The sequence below is a fragment of the Homo sapiens genome, chromosome 9 (assembly GCF_000001405.40).
Source record: "Homo sapiens chromosome 9, GRCh38.p14 Primary Assembly".
In the NCBI taxonomy this organism is placed as follows: Eukaryota; Metazoa; Chordata; class Mammalia; order Primates; family Hominidae; genus Homo; species Homo sapiens.
In genome coordinates, this window is record NC_000009.12 from 119,549,278 (window position 1) to 119,563,024 (window position 13,747).

Here is a 13,747-nt window from a genome sequence, read left to right on the forward strand (position 1 = left end):
TCACTTTTCTGACCTTTACTTTTCCCATCTGTAAAATATTAGTAACAATATTTCAATCCAGGAACTATTATAAGGATTAAATGAGATGATGCATAAAGATCTACTTAGATAGTGCCTTGCATATAGTAAGCACTCAGTATATACTGGGTCAGATTATTATAACTGAATATCTTAGTCAGTGCAGTTATTATTGCTTTACTTTATGAAAGAGGAAATCAAAGCTATGAGAAGTGAAATGACTTCACCAAGGGCACATCACCAATCAGATTTTCTAACTCCTTGTCCAGAGTGTCAAGGCCTTGCCAGCATGGACATGGCTAGGCTCTGGAGGGAGCCAAATCATTTTCAAGGGGCATAGGAGATGATAAAATACTTCTCAAGGGTTAGACAAGCACCAAAGGAGACAGTAGAAATAGTGCAACTTCTTTCCCTCTGTCCCGACATTCATGGAGTTCCAAGCACCAAATTAGGGACATCTTCCAAATACATTCCCAAATCAGCTTCCCTTTAAAGCAAAGCTACAAAAAGACATGGCACTCTAAATGCCACCCCTTCCCATGCTGGTAAGCAGCTTATTTAGCCCAGCGTGTGGCCATCTTATGAACCCAGAGAAGAGAGGCTGCTGCTGGGAATTATCTCTAGGAGTGCTGGGGGTGAGCGAGTCACTGTGATGATGAGGAGGGAGAAGCAGGGGAGGGGCAGGGAACAGCTCAGGTGACTGCACAGGGACAGGAATCCCCACAGAAGTATGGTGAGGGGCAATGTGGGAAAGGCAAGGGTTGGGCATGAATTTTCACGGACATAGAAACTAGAGGTTTGGCAGGTGCGGTGGCTTGCACCTATAAGCCCAGCAACTTGGGAGGCCAAGACAGGAGGATTGCTTGAGGCCAGGAGTTTGAGACAAGCCTGGGAAACATAGCAAGACTTCATTTATACACACGCACACACACGCACACAAACACACACTTCTTTTTTTTTTAAATTAGCTGGGCTGGTGGTCCATGCCTGTAGTCAGTCCCAGCTACTAAGGAGGCTGAGGTGGGAGGGTCACTAGGGCCCAGGAGTCAGAGCTACAGTAAGCTATGATGACACCACTGCATTCCAGCCTGAGTGACAGAACAAGCCTCCATTTATTAAAAAATGAAATAGAAATAAAATAAAAAATAAAAATAAAGAAACCAGAGGCTTAGAATTTGAGAGGTGGAAGGAGGCAAAGTGTTTAGTCCAACTTCTATCATTTTACAGATAAGAAAACCAAGGACTTGGAAGAACATGGAAGGGGAAGCTTTTAAATCTAAAAGTTCACTTACATGAACTGTTTTAAAAAGATTCCTTAGCTGCCAAACTACAGAGTTCATGAAGCTATGAAGTAAGGTAGTATAGCTTTTGGTGTTTTATTGTTGTTGTTCTTGTTTTTGTTTCTTTTTTTTGTTCGTTTTTAGTAGCCGAGGATACTGAGGAAGATGAGACGAGAAGAGGAAGTACCTTGCCAACGTTTACACAAGAGATTAACCTGGAAGCTACGCTAAGAGCTTTGTCTTTAGATCCTGGGTTTTCTTTGCATCAGACCCATACCCCTTCCAACCCCCATAAACCGAGAATAAGAGATTAGCCCACTACTTCCCCTCCCAGAAATTCACAGGACAAGAGTGTGCTTCCTCTGTAATAATAGGGAATGTGTCCATTGTCAGAGACTTAGAGTCATACATGTCTTCTGAGACTGAGAAAAACAAAAAAAAAGTGTGAAAATTAAATCAGAAAAGATGAACTTTTAAATTGGAAAAGATCTAATTTCATAGAAGGAGCCAATACCCAAAAGGGTAATCACTTTCTAGCTTTTGGAAGGTTACATTGTGTAAAGAAAGGAGCAAGGGCTCGGGAGCCCAGATGACCCAGATTCTCATTTCTCTTCCCAGGCTAGACCTTCACCAGCCATGCATCCTTGCATAGGTTAGTTAACCTTCCTAAACCTCTATTTCTTTGCATGTAAGATGGGAGTAAAAATAACCACTTCATATGGTTGCTTTGAGAATTGAATATAAAACAACTAGCCTGTGGGAGGTCTCTTATAATTTTTCTTCCTAAAAGGAGGACCCAAGACTGAAAACAGGCTTCCTTAGTCCCAGATTCTATTAAAAAATTTGAGGCTGGGTGCGGTGGCTCACACCTGTAATCCCAACACTTTGGGAGGCCGAGGCGGGTAGATCACCTGAGGTTGGGAGTCAGAGATGAGCCTGACCAAAATGGAGAAACCCTGTCTCTACTAAAAATATAAAATTAGCTGGGTGTGGTGGCGCATGCCTGTAATCCCAGCTACTCGGGAGGATGAGGCAGGAAAATCGATTGAACCTGGGAGGTGGAGGTTGTGGTGAGCCGAGATCGTGCCATTGCACTCCAGCCTGGGCAACAAGAGGGAAACTCTGTCTCAAAAAAAAAAAAATGGATATTTCTGGATGGGGAGCATGTAACTACCTCCCTGGGCCCCCATTTCTCATCTTTTGCAGTGGATACCACCTGAAGCAGCTACCAAGTTCTCTACACCTCTCTCACTTTGGGAATGACCTCGGTACACAGAGGTGGAATGCTGGTGGCCATGCTTGGCCCTAGCCCCAAGCCATAGCTACTGGCCCAGAAGTACACCTTGTATATAAGCCAGGCCATTCAGAGTTTTTCCCTGGGATTTTCTTATCAGAACTAAAGGGAGAGAAAGGAAGAGTCTCAGTCTCTCTCAGGTGGTAGTCATGAAATATGAGTGGTAGGAACCACGGCCCTATAGAGGAAGCCAGCAGTTTATCTAATGGAACTGGCATGCAGAAATGAAAGACATAAAGAAAGGTGCAATTCTGTTAAGTGAAGTCCCAGATTCCAAGTGTCCCTACAACCCAGATATACCCTTTACACAAGGCTTGCAAAATGCTCCAGTGTTTTCTGGTGGAAGAATATCTTCTTGCTTAAGGTAATATTTTGCCTAAGGATTTCTCTCCATTGGGTTGAACTGGATGATCATTAAGGCTTCTTCATCCCTTAATCATCTGTGGTTCTTAAATGTGGACTGAAATACCTACTGTACTTTTATCCTGGGATCCTAAGACTTAAGGACAGAAGAGATTCTCAAGACCCAGGATGATAAGCCACAGGGATAAAAATTTCTAATATATTTTTTCTATACACCTTCCTATGACTTATCCCCCACTCCTAAAGCTAGCAGTATTATTTATATATATGTATGTATAACAATTAAATAGCATTTCATATCTTACAGTGTTCTTTATCATATAGAAAATTTATAACACCCCTGCATGGAGGTGTCACTCTTTTTGCTACTGTTATAGAAACTGGTTTTTTGGTCTTTCCTGGCTTAAATCTCCAGTCTTCTCAGGGAGCCCAACCCTGGAAAAACCTATACCATCTCCACCACTCCTAGGTCAATCAAGTCTTACAGCAAGAGTTTTCAGTTCTGTGGTCCTGACATATCCTTTGCTCTTGAGTCAATGCATTAGTCTGTTCTTATACTGCTATAAAGAACTATCTGAGACTGGGTAATTTATGAATAAAAGAGGTTTAATTGACTCACAGTTTTGCAGACTATACAGGAAGCATGACTGGGAGGCCTCAGGAAACTTACAATCATGGCAGAAGGATGAAGGCGAAAGAAGGCACATCCACACACGGTGGCAGGAGAGAGAGCAAAGGAGGAAGTGCCACACACTTTTAAACCATCAGATCTTGTGAAACTCACTATCACGAGAACAGCAAGGGGAAAATCTGCCCCTATGATCCAATCACCTCCCACCAGGTTCCCCCTCCAACATTGGGAATTACAATTCAACATGATTTGGGTGGGGACACAGAGCCAAACCATATCAGTCAACAACGCCTATTGTAGGCTCACACTGTTAACGTATTCTTAAAATAGCCACTAGGGTCACCTGCAAGAAGCCCTGCAAATTGATTCACTTGAATGGTGTTTTCAGCACCCATAGCACTGGGGCCTAAGAATACGTGCCAGGGAGAATGTCAGAAATGCAAAATATAAGACTCCTAGCCCCAGCAGGTCACCACCTGGGTGGGAAGGAGGTCACTGACACAGATAGCGGCAACCTTCTAGGGATTATGTTATGATCCAGGCAGGTGCTACATTATCCAAGGAAAGAGAACAGCAAACCCACTCCATGAGTTCTGAGAAGGCTTTCCAGGAAACAGCACAGCTGAGTCTTGAATCATCTCAGCCACTTCGCAGTTCTGTAACTTTGGGCAAGTAACCTTATCTCTGGCATGTTAGTCTTCTCTGTAAAATGGAAATAATAATTGTGCTCCCTCATAGGCTTGTTGTGTGTATTAAATGAATTAATGCGTGTAAGGTACTTAAAACAGTGATGGGCACACAGTTAGTATTTAACACCCATTAGCCATTGTCATCATCATTATCATCATCATTAAAAAGTAAGAGTTTATCACAGAGGCAGGCAGGGTAGGATGTCAGTCAGAGGGAATGACAGGGCTGTGTAAAAGCATGTTATACTTGGAGTTTGGCAAATTGCGCCAGCTTGCTGCAAAGTCAAGTGTGTAGGGATCTTAGGAGCTGATTCTCCAGGTATCACCAAACTTTTTCAATAGAGAGTCAGATAGTAAATATTTTAGGTTTTGTGGGCCAAGGGCCAGCGTCCTTAACTTTTTAAGCAACTATTCTCTCCAAAAGTATAATGGTTTGTTTAGCACTTTATGTTTAAAAATGTCAAAACCATGTTTTTTGTTCATGGAACATATAGGTTGTGGGTTTTATTTGGTCCATGAGACACAGTCTGCTAACCCCTGCTGCAGAAAGCAACTAGGAGCTGGGCTGTTAAAGACAGCATAGGCCTTGCTAAGGAGGATGAGCTTCTCTAGGCAGGGGAAAGGCAAAGGGTTTAAACGGAACTTCAAGATCAGATTCGCATGTGGCAAAGTAACATAGAGAGTGGATTGGGGTGAAGAGGGAGGGGCAAGCTTAAGCTAGCAGTCTAATTAGAAAATGACTATAATTGCAATGGAAGTGATATTTGTACAGAGGCAGTACTGATGAGGATGCTGAGAGATATTTAGGGGCAAAATTAACATAACTTGTCTGGATTTAGCCAGTAAGAGAGAAAACAGAACACTCAATGTATCTGCTTATGTAAAGACAGATAGACCTCTACTTAGGGTAGAAGTGAGTGCCCCATCCCCAGAAGCATTCAAACAGAGCATAGATTCCCACCTGACAGGTATTCTGCAGACAGCAATGAATGGAAATAGAAGCAGATAAAGTATCTTCTAGCTCTGAAGGCCCACAGTGCTATGGCTCTGTGATCGTCTTTATCAATCTAACAGGCACAAACGATTTGTTTAGTCAATGAGGGATATAGACAAACTTCACCCCTCAATATGAATCACCTTAATTTTGCAGAAAGCTGTCTATTTTCTATAGTGCTCACATCCATTATCTCTCTGAGGAGCCTGGAACAGGACTCAGACCTGAAACACACTGGACAAACATGAGACGGTTATCATTATTTTAAAAATATGCTTCAGTTGAATATAAAAGTTCTTTACATTATTTCAAGTTTAGTGCAGTTATTCTGACTTGGGAACAGCAAATTATTCACTTCTATACCCCTATAATTTCTTGGACAATAGTTGGCACATTGCAATAGTACACAAATATTTGTTAAATCCTAGCAATCCAGCAGAAGCCAGCTTGGAAAGCATTTCCTCCACGTGGCCTTCCACCATGATGCTATAGAAAAGACCCGCTCGTGTCATCACTGGCTCCCACTGCAATGAGAACAGCATCATTGTTGATAATAACAGACACCTTTTTTTGGTATTCCTTGTGTGGCAGGTGAGGTGAGGGTGAGGTTCCTTACAGACATTCTGCACTAAGCCTCGCAAGGACCTAATGTGTTTCTCTTTTCTTTTCTTTTCTTTCTCTCTCTCTCTTTCTCTCTTCCTTTCTTTCCTTCTTTCTTTTTTTGTCTGAGAGAGGGTCTCACTCTGTCACCCAGGCTGAAGTGCAGTGACATGATCACAGCTCACTGCAGCCTTGGCCTCCTGGACTTAAGCAATCCTCCCACCTCAGCCTCCCAAGACTACAGGTACACCACCTGGGACTACAGGTTAATGTTTTTTGTTGTTGTTGTCGTTTTGGTTTTTTCTTTTCTTTTCTTTTCTTTCTTTTTTTTTTTTTTTTTTTTGAGATGGCATCTCCCTCTGTGGCCCAGGCTGGAGTGCAATGGCACAATCTCGGCTCACTGCCACCTCCGCCTCCCAGGTTCAAGCAATTCTCCTGCCTCAGCCTCCCAAGTAGCTAAGATTACAGGTGCCCACCACCACACCCAGCTAATCTTTGTATTTTTAGTAGAGACAGGGTTTCACCATGCTGGCCAGGCTGGTCTCAAACTCCTGACCTCAGGTGACCTGCCTGCCTTGGCCTCCCAAACTTCTGGAATTACAGGTGTACACCACCACTCCTGGTTAAGGACCTAATGGGATAGATGCCATTGCACTGCCCATTTTACGGATGATAAAGTTGCAGCCCAAAGAAGTGAAAGGCTAATTTTATTTTATTTATTTTTTAAAGACGAGGTCTTGCTATGTTGCCCAAGCTGGACTTGAACTCTTGGTCTCCTGTGATCTTCCCACTTCAGCCTTCAGAGTAGCTGGGATTACAGGCACCTGCCACCACACCCAGCTCACACAGGCTAATTATTGAATAACCCCTGCTTTTCCAGCAGACACAATGAGGGCATTTTTGTATCTGTTTATTCAAGGAGGGAGACATTGGGGCTGTTAGGTGTGCCTGGACTGGTAATAAGGTCTTTTATCATAACCCTCCCAAAGTCTCAGGGCGGCTGTGGCCAACACGCGTCTCCAGGCCCACAGGCTCTGAGGCGGAAACCACAGTTCCAGGTCCCCAGGCTCCAGCCGCCAATGCGGCTACCGACCAGCAGAGGGCAGCTGCGGGAAGCCGTCCAAAGGCGGCCTCCACCCCCATTAGTGCCAATTAAGCCGCGAGATGCAAGAGGCGAGCGCGTGGTGAAAGAAAACACATCTACTTCTGGGTTGAGCTAGGCTGGGTGATCTGCTGGGAGGGACGTTGACCTGCTTCCAAAAAGCCGGCTGGATGGTGCCGTGGTGGCTGCCTGCAAAGGAACACCGGCCTATGGGAACCAGACCCTGGGGCTTCCCGCGAGCTTCTCTTCCTCCAGCCAGCAAAACAGGAAAAGCCTGGCCCAGGGACGGAGGGAGATGTTGTGGAGCAGACGGACTGGCTGGAGCCAAAGGGCAGCCTCTTTGGAGCAGAAAAACAAACCCAGACATATCAAGAGATGCACAGGATGTCCCCAAAGCGCGTGCTCACGAAACAGGGTGAAACACACACACATTCAGAGTGAGCAACAGTCCCAGCCTGACTGATAAAATCCGGACAATCTCAAGCAAATCGCGATGGTTGGTTACTTGTCAGCTGAATACACATGCAGGCTGTGTACATCCACAGGCACAAGTGTATAGATGTAGCACAAATGCCCCCTGTCCCCCCGCCACCGCCACCAAATAAATGCAAATGTTTACCCACTCAGGCATAGGCACATTGAGACTGGAGGCTGCACTGGTTTGAATTCAGAAGGTCTAAATTCCAGTCCCAGCTTTGCCCCAAATCTGTGCCACCTCGAACAAGTTACCAAACCATTTTGGTTCTCAGTTTCCTCATTTGTAAAATGGAGGAGTCAAGCCCGTCAGGTTTCTTAAAATTATACAGCTTTAAAGCATTAAGTTCTCCAAGGAAGCCTGGGACTGCTTCTTATTTCTTCACCAAATCTCTAACCTTAGGGGAGGAACCAGCAAGATGGCCCAGTCCAAGTCCCTGGCCCCAAACCATTTCATGCAACAGCTCTATGGATGTTCTTATCTATCTGACAACCTGGAAATCTTTAAGTCAGCGCGTGTATGATCGTCTCCCTGTGAACACGATCGTACTGAATATGCAATTTCTTTTTCTGTCCTCCTTCTTCACTTAACTTTAGTACAGAGCATAAGAATTTCACAAACATGTTTTTAAATGGCCATGAAATGTTTCCTTAAATGGATAACTGTACCCCTCAGTTCGCTTTTTCTTGCGCGCCTCCCCATGTCCACCCCACACCCTGCGTTAGCTACTATAAATAATACTCCACAAAAAAAAAAAAAAATCTTCATGCATGTATCTTTTTTCTATTTTTGGATTTTTTTCTTTAGAAAAAAAATCCCAGAAATTAAATTACTAAAATTATATCTTATTTTAAGAGTCTTCATGCATATTGCCAAATTGTTTTCCAGAACGGTCGCCCTAGTTGACATGTCTACCAGCAATGCGTGAGATTCTTTATATCATCCCATTCTCAAAAGCATTGACATCCTCTTGTTTTTGTTTAAACTTTGCTAATTCAATAGGCAAAAAATGTTATCTCATGGTTTTAATAAGCCTTTCTTTGATTATTAGAGAGAGTGAACGTTTTTTTTTCTTGTGTTTGTTAACCAGTTGCATGTATTTCCTCTTTTGAGAATTGTCTGTTCTTGCCCTCTGCTCACTTATCTACTGGGTCTTAGTGAATTTAATTGATTTGCATGCGCTCTTTACATAATAAAGATAGTAATCCTTTGTCATATTGGCTGTGGGTATTTTTCCAGTTTGCTTTATGTATTTTCCTTTGTGATTTCTTCTATCACTTCTAAGCTTATACAGCCACCCCATCCTCCAGAGACTTGATAAATATTCATTTCTAATTCCTAGTATTTTTTTCTCCTGGGATGATTTGATTCTATAAGCTTAAGATTCCATGAGACCACAAATCTATGATTTTGTGCTTCCAAGATGAGTACTTCTAGCTCCTGATTTTCTTTCAAGGCATAGAATCCCTAATTTATTTCATATTTCCTTTTTACACGTCCCCACCCTTTGGATTATAAACTCCACGAAGGCAGGGACTGGGTCTGCCTCATTCCACCTGTATCCTAGGGGCCCAGCACAGTGCCAGGCACATAATAGGAGCACACTAAATGTCTACTGCTTGCTTATCTTCCTGATCTGTTTCAAGCTCTCAAGAATGCCCCAGTTCTGGCCCCACATCCAAGCATGCAGCATGGGTCGTCAGATGCATGATGTGACAGCATCTGGGGAAGCAGGAGGGCATTACCAGAAGAGAAGATAGCAATAGTTGAATTAAAAAGTGTGAAGGAACATGGCATGTAGAAAACAATATTGAGTCTAACATGCCAAGAGTGCAGGATGTGTGTGCTTGTGATAGGAGATACAGCTGAAAATGGAAGTTGGACCCAACTGGTGAAGGTTTCCGAGACAGTTTTGGAATTTCAGCCACAAAAATTCCATTCTCCACAGTACAGCCAGAGTGATCTTTTTAAAAGGTAAATCTGATCATGTCATTTTCCTGCCTCACATCTGGCAAAAGCTTCCCTTTGCAGGTAGGACACAGTTGAGAATCTTATTATAGTCTCCAGGGTCCTAGCTTTCCCATTCACCATGCCTCTTGCCACTCTCCCTTTGCTCACATCACAATTCCTTGCTATCCTTCGGCTCTGCCAGGCCTATCCTGTAACCAAGCTTCTGTGACTGCAGATTTTTTCCCATTAACCCTCTCATCCCGGGGCTACACATGTCTGCTGCTTCTCTTATTAGAATAGAGTTCAAACACACAAGACTTCCCACTTACCTATCACTCTTCTCTTTCTCCTTGCTTTACTATCTTCATCCAGTGTATCACTATCTAAAGGCATCTTCTTTGTCTATCTACCTGTTTATTTTTTCTGTCTTCTTCTTGAATGCAAACCTCAGGAGGGCAGAGGCCTTCCCTGTTTTATTTACTGCTACAGTTCCATCACCTACAACAGTGCCTGGCAGGCATAGTAGGAGATGGCTAAATTTTGCTTGAATGCATCAGATAAACTCATGGGCAGCTGGAGCCACAGGGAAAGGGGGTTGTGAGTAGGATGGTGTGTCTGTTTCAGAGATAATTCTGCTGGCATGGTGGAGAATGGTTTGGAGCTAGAGAAACCAGGGACAGGAAGAAGGAATAATGTTACCCATAAATGGTTGATAACCAGAAACTTTTCTGAGAAGAGGATTTGATCCAGGGAGAGCTAGAGATGGAAGAATGTTGTGTACTGGGTACTGGAAAGGGTTTTTAAAAACGTGCAGAGTTAGCAATGTGCTGGCAACCAACCCAAAAAATCCGTAATTGTAACAAACAATTATACGGTGTTTTAGCCCCCTTAAGGCTTTGACACTATCTCAGGATATCCTCACCATCACGATTCAAAGTAGGCAAGGTATAGGCTGCTATCTTCATTTTACAGATGAGAAAACTGAGGTCCTGGAAAATTAACCCAGGGTCACACAGCTTGTGAGCAGTGGATGTACAAAGAAACTGAGGTTCTGATGCTCAGCCCTGCCTGAGCTCTGCCTGGTGTCACAATTTTCCCACAGTAGCTGCCCTCCATGGAATGCTGCTGTGGGTAAAATCATATTTTAGGGTTAATGATCCAGATGAATAATGTTCCCCTGCCTTTGGGCCAGGCAGCACAAGAGAACTGCAGTGTCACTTTCTTCCTTAAGAGAGTTAAAATATCACAAGTCAGAGTGGAGGCCATTTACCCCCACATTAACAGCAAATGCCATTTGTTCCCAATGATATCTCCACATCTGACTTTCGTTTCCCTCCCCCGTGGCTGAAATTACAACAAAATGAAGCAAGGGCCAAGGGAAGGAAGAGATAAACAAGGGTCGGAAAAAGACAAGGAGTGACGCCTCTGTTCAACTAGGCAGACAGGCTGAGAGTCCCAGATCTCCTTATCCTTTCTAAACTGGAGCCAGTAACATCTTTATTGAGGTAGCAATTACTGGTGGCTCAGCAGGAAGCCAGGGGCAGGTCTGGTGGAGAAGTCTCTGGATGTATGAGCTGGAGAGGGAGAAAGAAGGGCTTGGAATGTCTTACGATTCTCCAGAATGGAATAGCTCCCCAACCCTCCAATTTGGCATGCCAAACCCTACCTATTGTTCAAATGCCATCTGCTTCATGGAGCTTACATAGGTCACACCAGTCATTTTAATTCAGAGCTTGCACATATCTGTCATGATTCTTTAGACTGTGAGAAAGATGTGGAAAGCAACAGGGGCATGGAGAACTGCACCCATCCTTGAGCCTGAGAAAAAAGCATGAGGTGAGGGCACAGCACAGACATGGGTTCTCTTCTGGACAGCTCCAGAAGGTGCTAGAGCAGCACCTTCCACCTCTTCAAGTCTTTCCAGCAATGTGCACCCAAATGCAAATAGAGGGGCCATTTGAAAAGCCTTATCCCTAGATGCTGACAGTGGTTCAAGAATTGTGTGGCTAAGGAGAGATAGTGTTTTTAGGGGAGTATGTTCTGGTTGAGGGAATGAGGTCCCATAGCCCACTCTCCCAGAGCCCACCAAACAAGTAATCTGTCTTGACAGGAGCAAATCAATAAACCTTTTTTTTCCTTCCTTCCTCCTTTCCTTTTTTTCTCTCCACTGTTCCTTTCTTCCTCTCTTGTTTCAATTTTTTTTTACTCACTCATTCCTCCCTCATCTTTTTTTTTTTTTTTTGGGGCCTCTCTCTCTTCTGTTTCCCTGAACCCAAATTAATATTTTCAGATATCTTTCCTGTGTTATTAAAAAAATTTCCTTCTACAGAATGGGAGAAAATTTTTCAATCTACTCATCTGACAAAGGGCTAATATCCAGAATCTACAAAGAACTCAAACAAATTTATGAGAAAAAAACAAACAACCCCATCAGAAAGTGGGTGAAGGATATGAACAGACACTTCTCAAAAGAAGACATTTATGCAGCCAAAAGACACATGAAAAAATGCTCATCATCACTGGCCATCAGAGAAATGCAAATCAAAACCACAATGAGATACCATCTCACACCAGTTAGAATGGTGATCATTAAAAAGTCAGGAAACAACAGGTGCTGGAGAGGATGTGGAGAAATAGGAACACTTTTACACTGTTGGTGGGACTGTAAACTAGTTCAACCACTGTGGAAAACAGTGTGGCGATTCCTCCAGGATCTAGAACTAGAAATACCATTTGACCCAGCAATCCCATTACTGGGTATATACCCAAAGGATTATAAATCATGCTGCTATAAAGATACATGCACACATATGTTTATTGCAGCACTATTCACAATAGCAAAGACTTGGAACCAACCCAAATGTCCATCAATGATAGACTGGATTAAGAAAATGTGGCACATATACACCAGGAAATACTATGCAGCCATAAAAAAAAGGATGAGTTCATGTCCTTTGTAGGGACATGGATGAAGCTGGAAACCATCATTCTCAGCAAACTATCGCAAGGACAAAAAAACAAACACCACATGTTCTCACTCACAGGTGGGAATTGAACAATGAGAACAGTTGGACACAGGAAGGGGAACATCACACACCAGGGCCTGTTGCGGGGTGTGGGGAAGGGGGAGGGATAGCATTAGGAGATATACCTAATGTAAATGACGAGTTAATGGGTGCAGCACATCAACATGGCACAGGTATACATATGTAACAAACCTGCACATTGTGCACATGTACCCTAGAACTTAAAGTACAATAAAAAAAAATTTCAAAAAGTTTCCTTCTTCACTACTGAATTCAAGACATACTGCCTACAAATTATTATAAGGAAATTGATTTTTGTTTCTGCATAGTTCAGTGTATTTTTGTCCACAGATAAACAGAAACATCATTTCAAGGTAAAGAGCAGTTTGTGTGTATGTGTGTGTGTGTGTGTGTGTGCATGTGTGTGAGAGCAAGTGTATATGTGTGAATGTGTCTGGGTGCATGTGTGTATGTCTGTGTGTACGTGTGTGTGTGTGTGTGTGTGTGTGTGTGTGTGTGTGATGATCTGATGGCTCCCAGGAAAGCAAGGGAAAAAAGGAGAAAACACAAATCAGATTCATTCGCTCATTCACTCCATCAAGAAGTATTTGTTGAGAGCTTACTGTAAGCCAGGTGCTATGCTGATCCCAGCCTCATGGAGTCCCCAGCCAGGTACAGGAGTTAAAGAGAAACCAGGAACTTGTAAGCCAGTGAGCTCAGCCTGTGGTAGGGGACGTGTGAGGAGTGCAGATGAAGGACACAGCAGAAGCACTGGCCTTGGGATCATTTCTTGGAACAACTGAAGCAGCTCAGGCAAAAGAAAGGATATGTGTAAGCTCTGTCTAAGAAGAAAGGCAGAGGGTGAAGTTCAAGAAGCCCTGCTAGCCCTGGGAGGGGCAGTCCCTTCAGGATCAGCAAGGCCCCAAGATGTCAAAACATCAAAAATACAGTAAATAAAAAAGCATGATTAATACAGACAGCAAGCTTCTAAGGATGGGAACAAAGGGGAGTGGTGGGGAGTAGGGAAGAAGCAAAGGTTTAGATGCAGGTAAGAGGAACAGAGACAGACTGAGAGGATAGCTGTGTTTCAAAGTGTGAGTGTATGTTTTTATGTTTTAAAGAAAGAAAGAGGCCAGGCGCGGTGGCTCATGCCTGTAATCCCAGCACTTTGGGAGGCTGAGGCAGGTGGATCACCTGAGCTCAGGAGTTCGAGATGAGCCTGGCCAATGTGGAGAAACCCCACCTCTATGAAAACCACAAGAATTAGCCAGGCGTGGTGGCACACCTGTAATCCCAGCTACTCTGGAGGCTGAGGTGGGAGAATC

At 43.5% G+C, this 13,747-nt stretch overlaps 2 annotated features.

Moving 5' to 3' along the window:
- Positions 6,631-7,151: an enhancer, noted in NCBI's record as "H3K4me1 hESC enhancer chr9:122318186-122318706 (GRCh37/hg19 assembly coordinates)". NCBI's record gives its function as "activates a minimal SCP1, AML or CMV promoter by ChIP-STARR-seq in naive H9 embryonic stem cells {active_cell/tissue: H9 hESC(naive)}" and the evidence as "EXISTENCE:reporter gene assay evidence [ECO:0000049][PMID:30033119]".
- Positions 7,102-7,151: an enhancer, noted in NCBI's record as "active region_28889". NCBI's record gives its function as "activates an Ori minimal core promoter by ATAC-STARR-seq in GM12878 lymphoblastoid cells {active_cell/tissue: GM12878}" and the evidence as "EXISTENCE:reporter gene assay evidence [ECO:0000049][PMID:35858748]".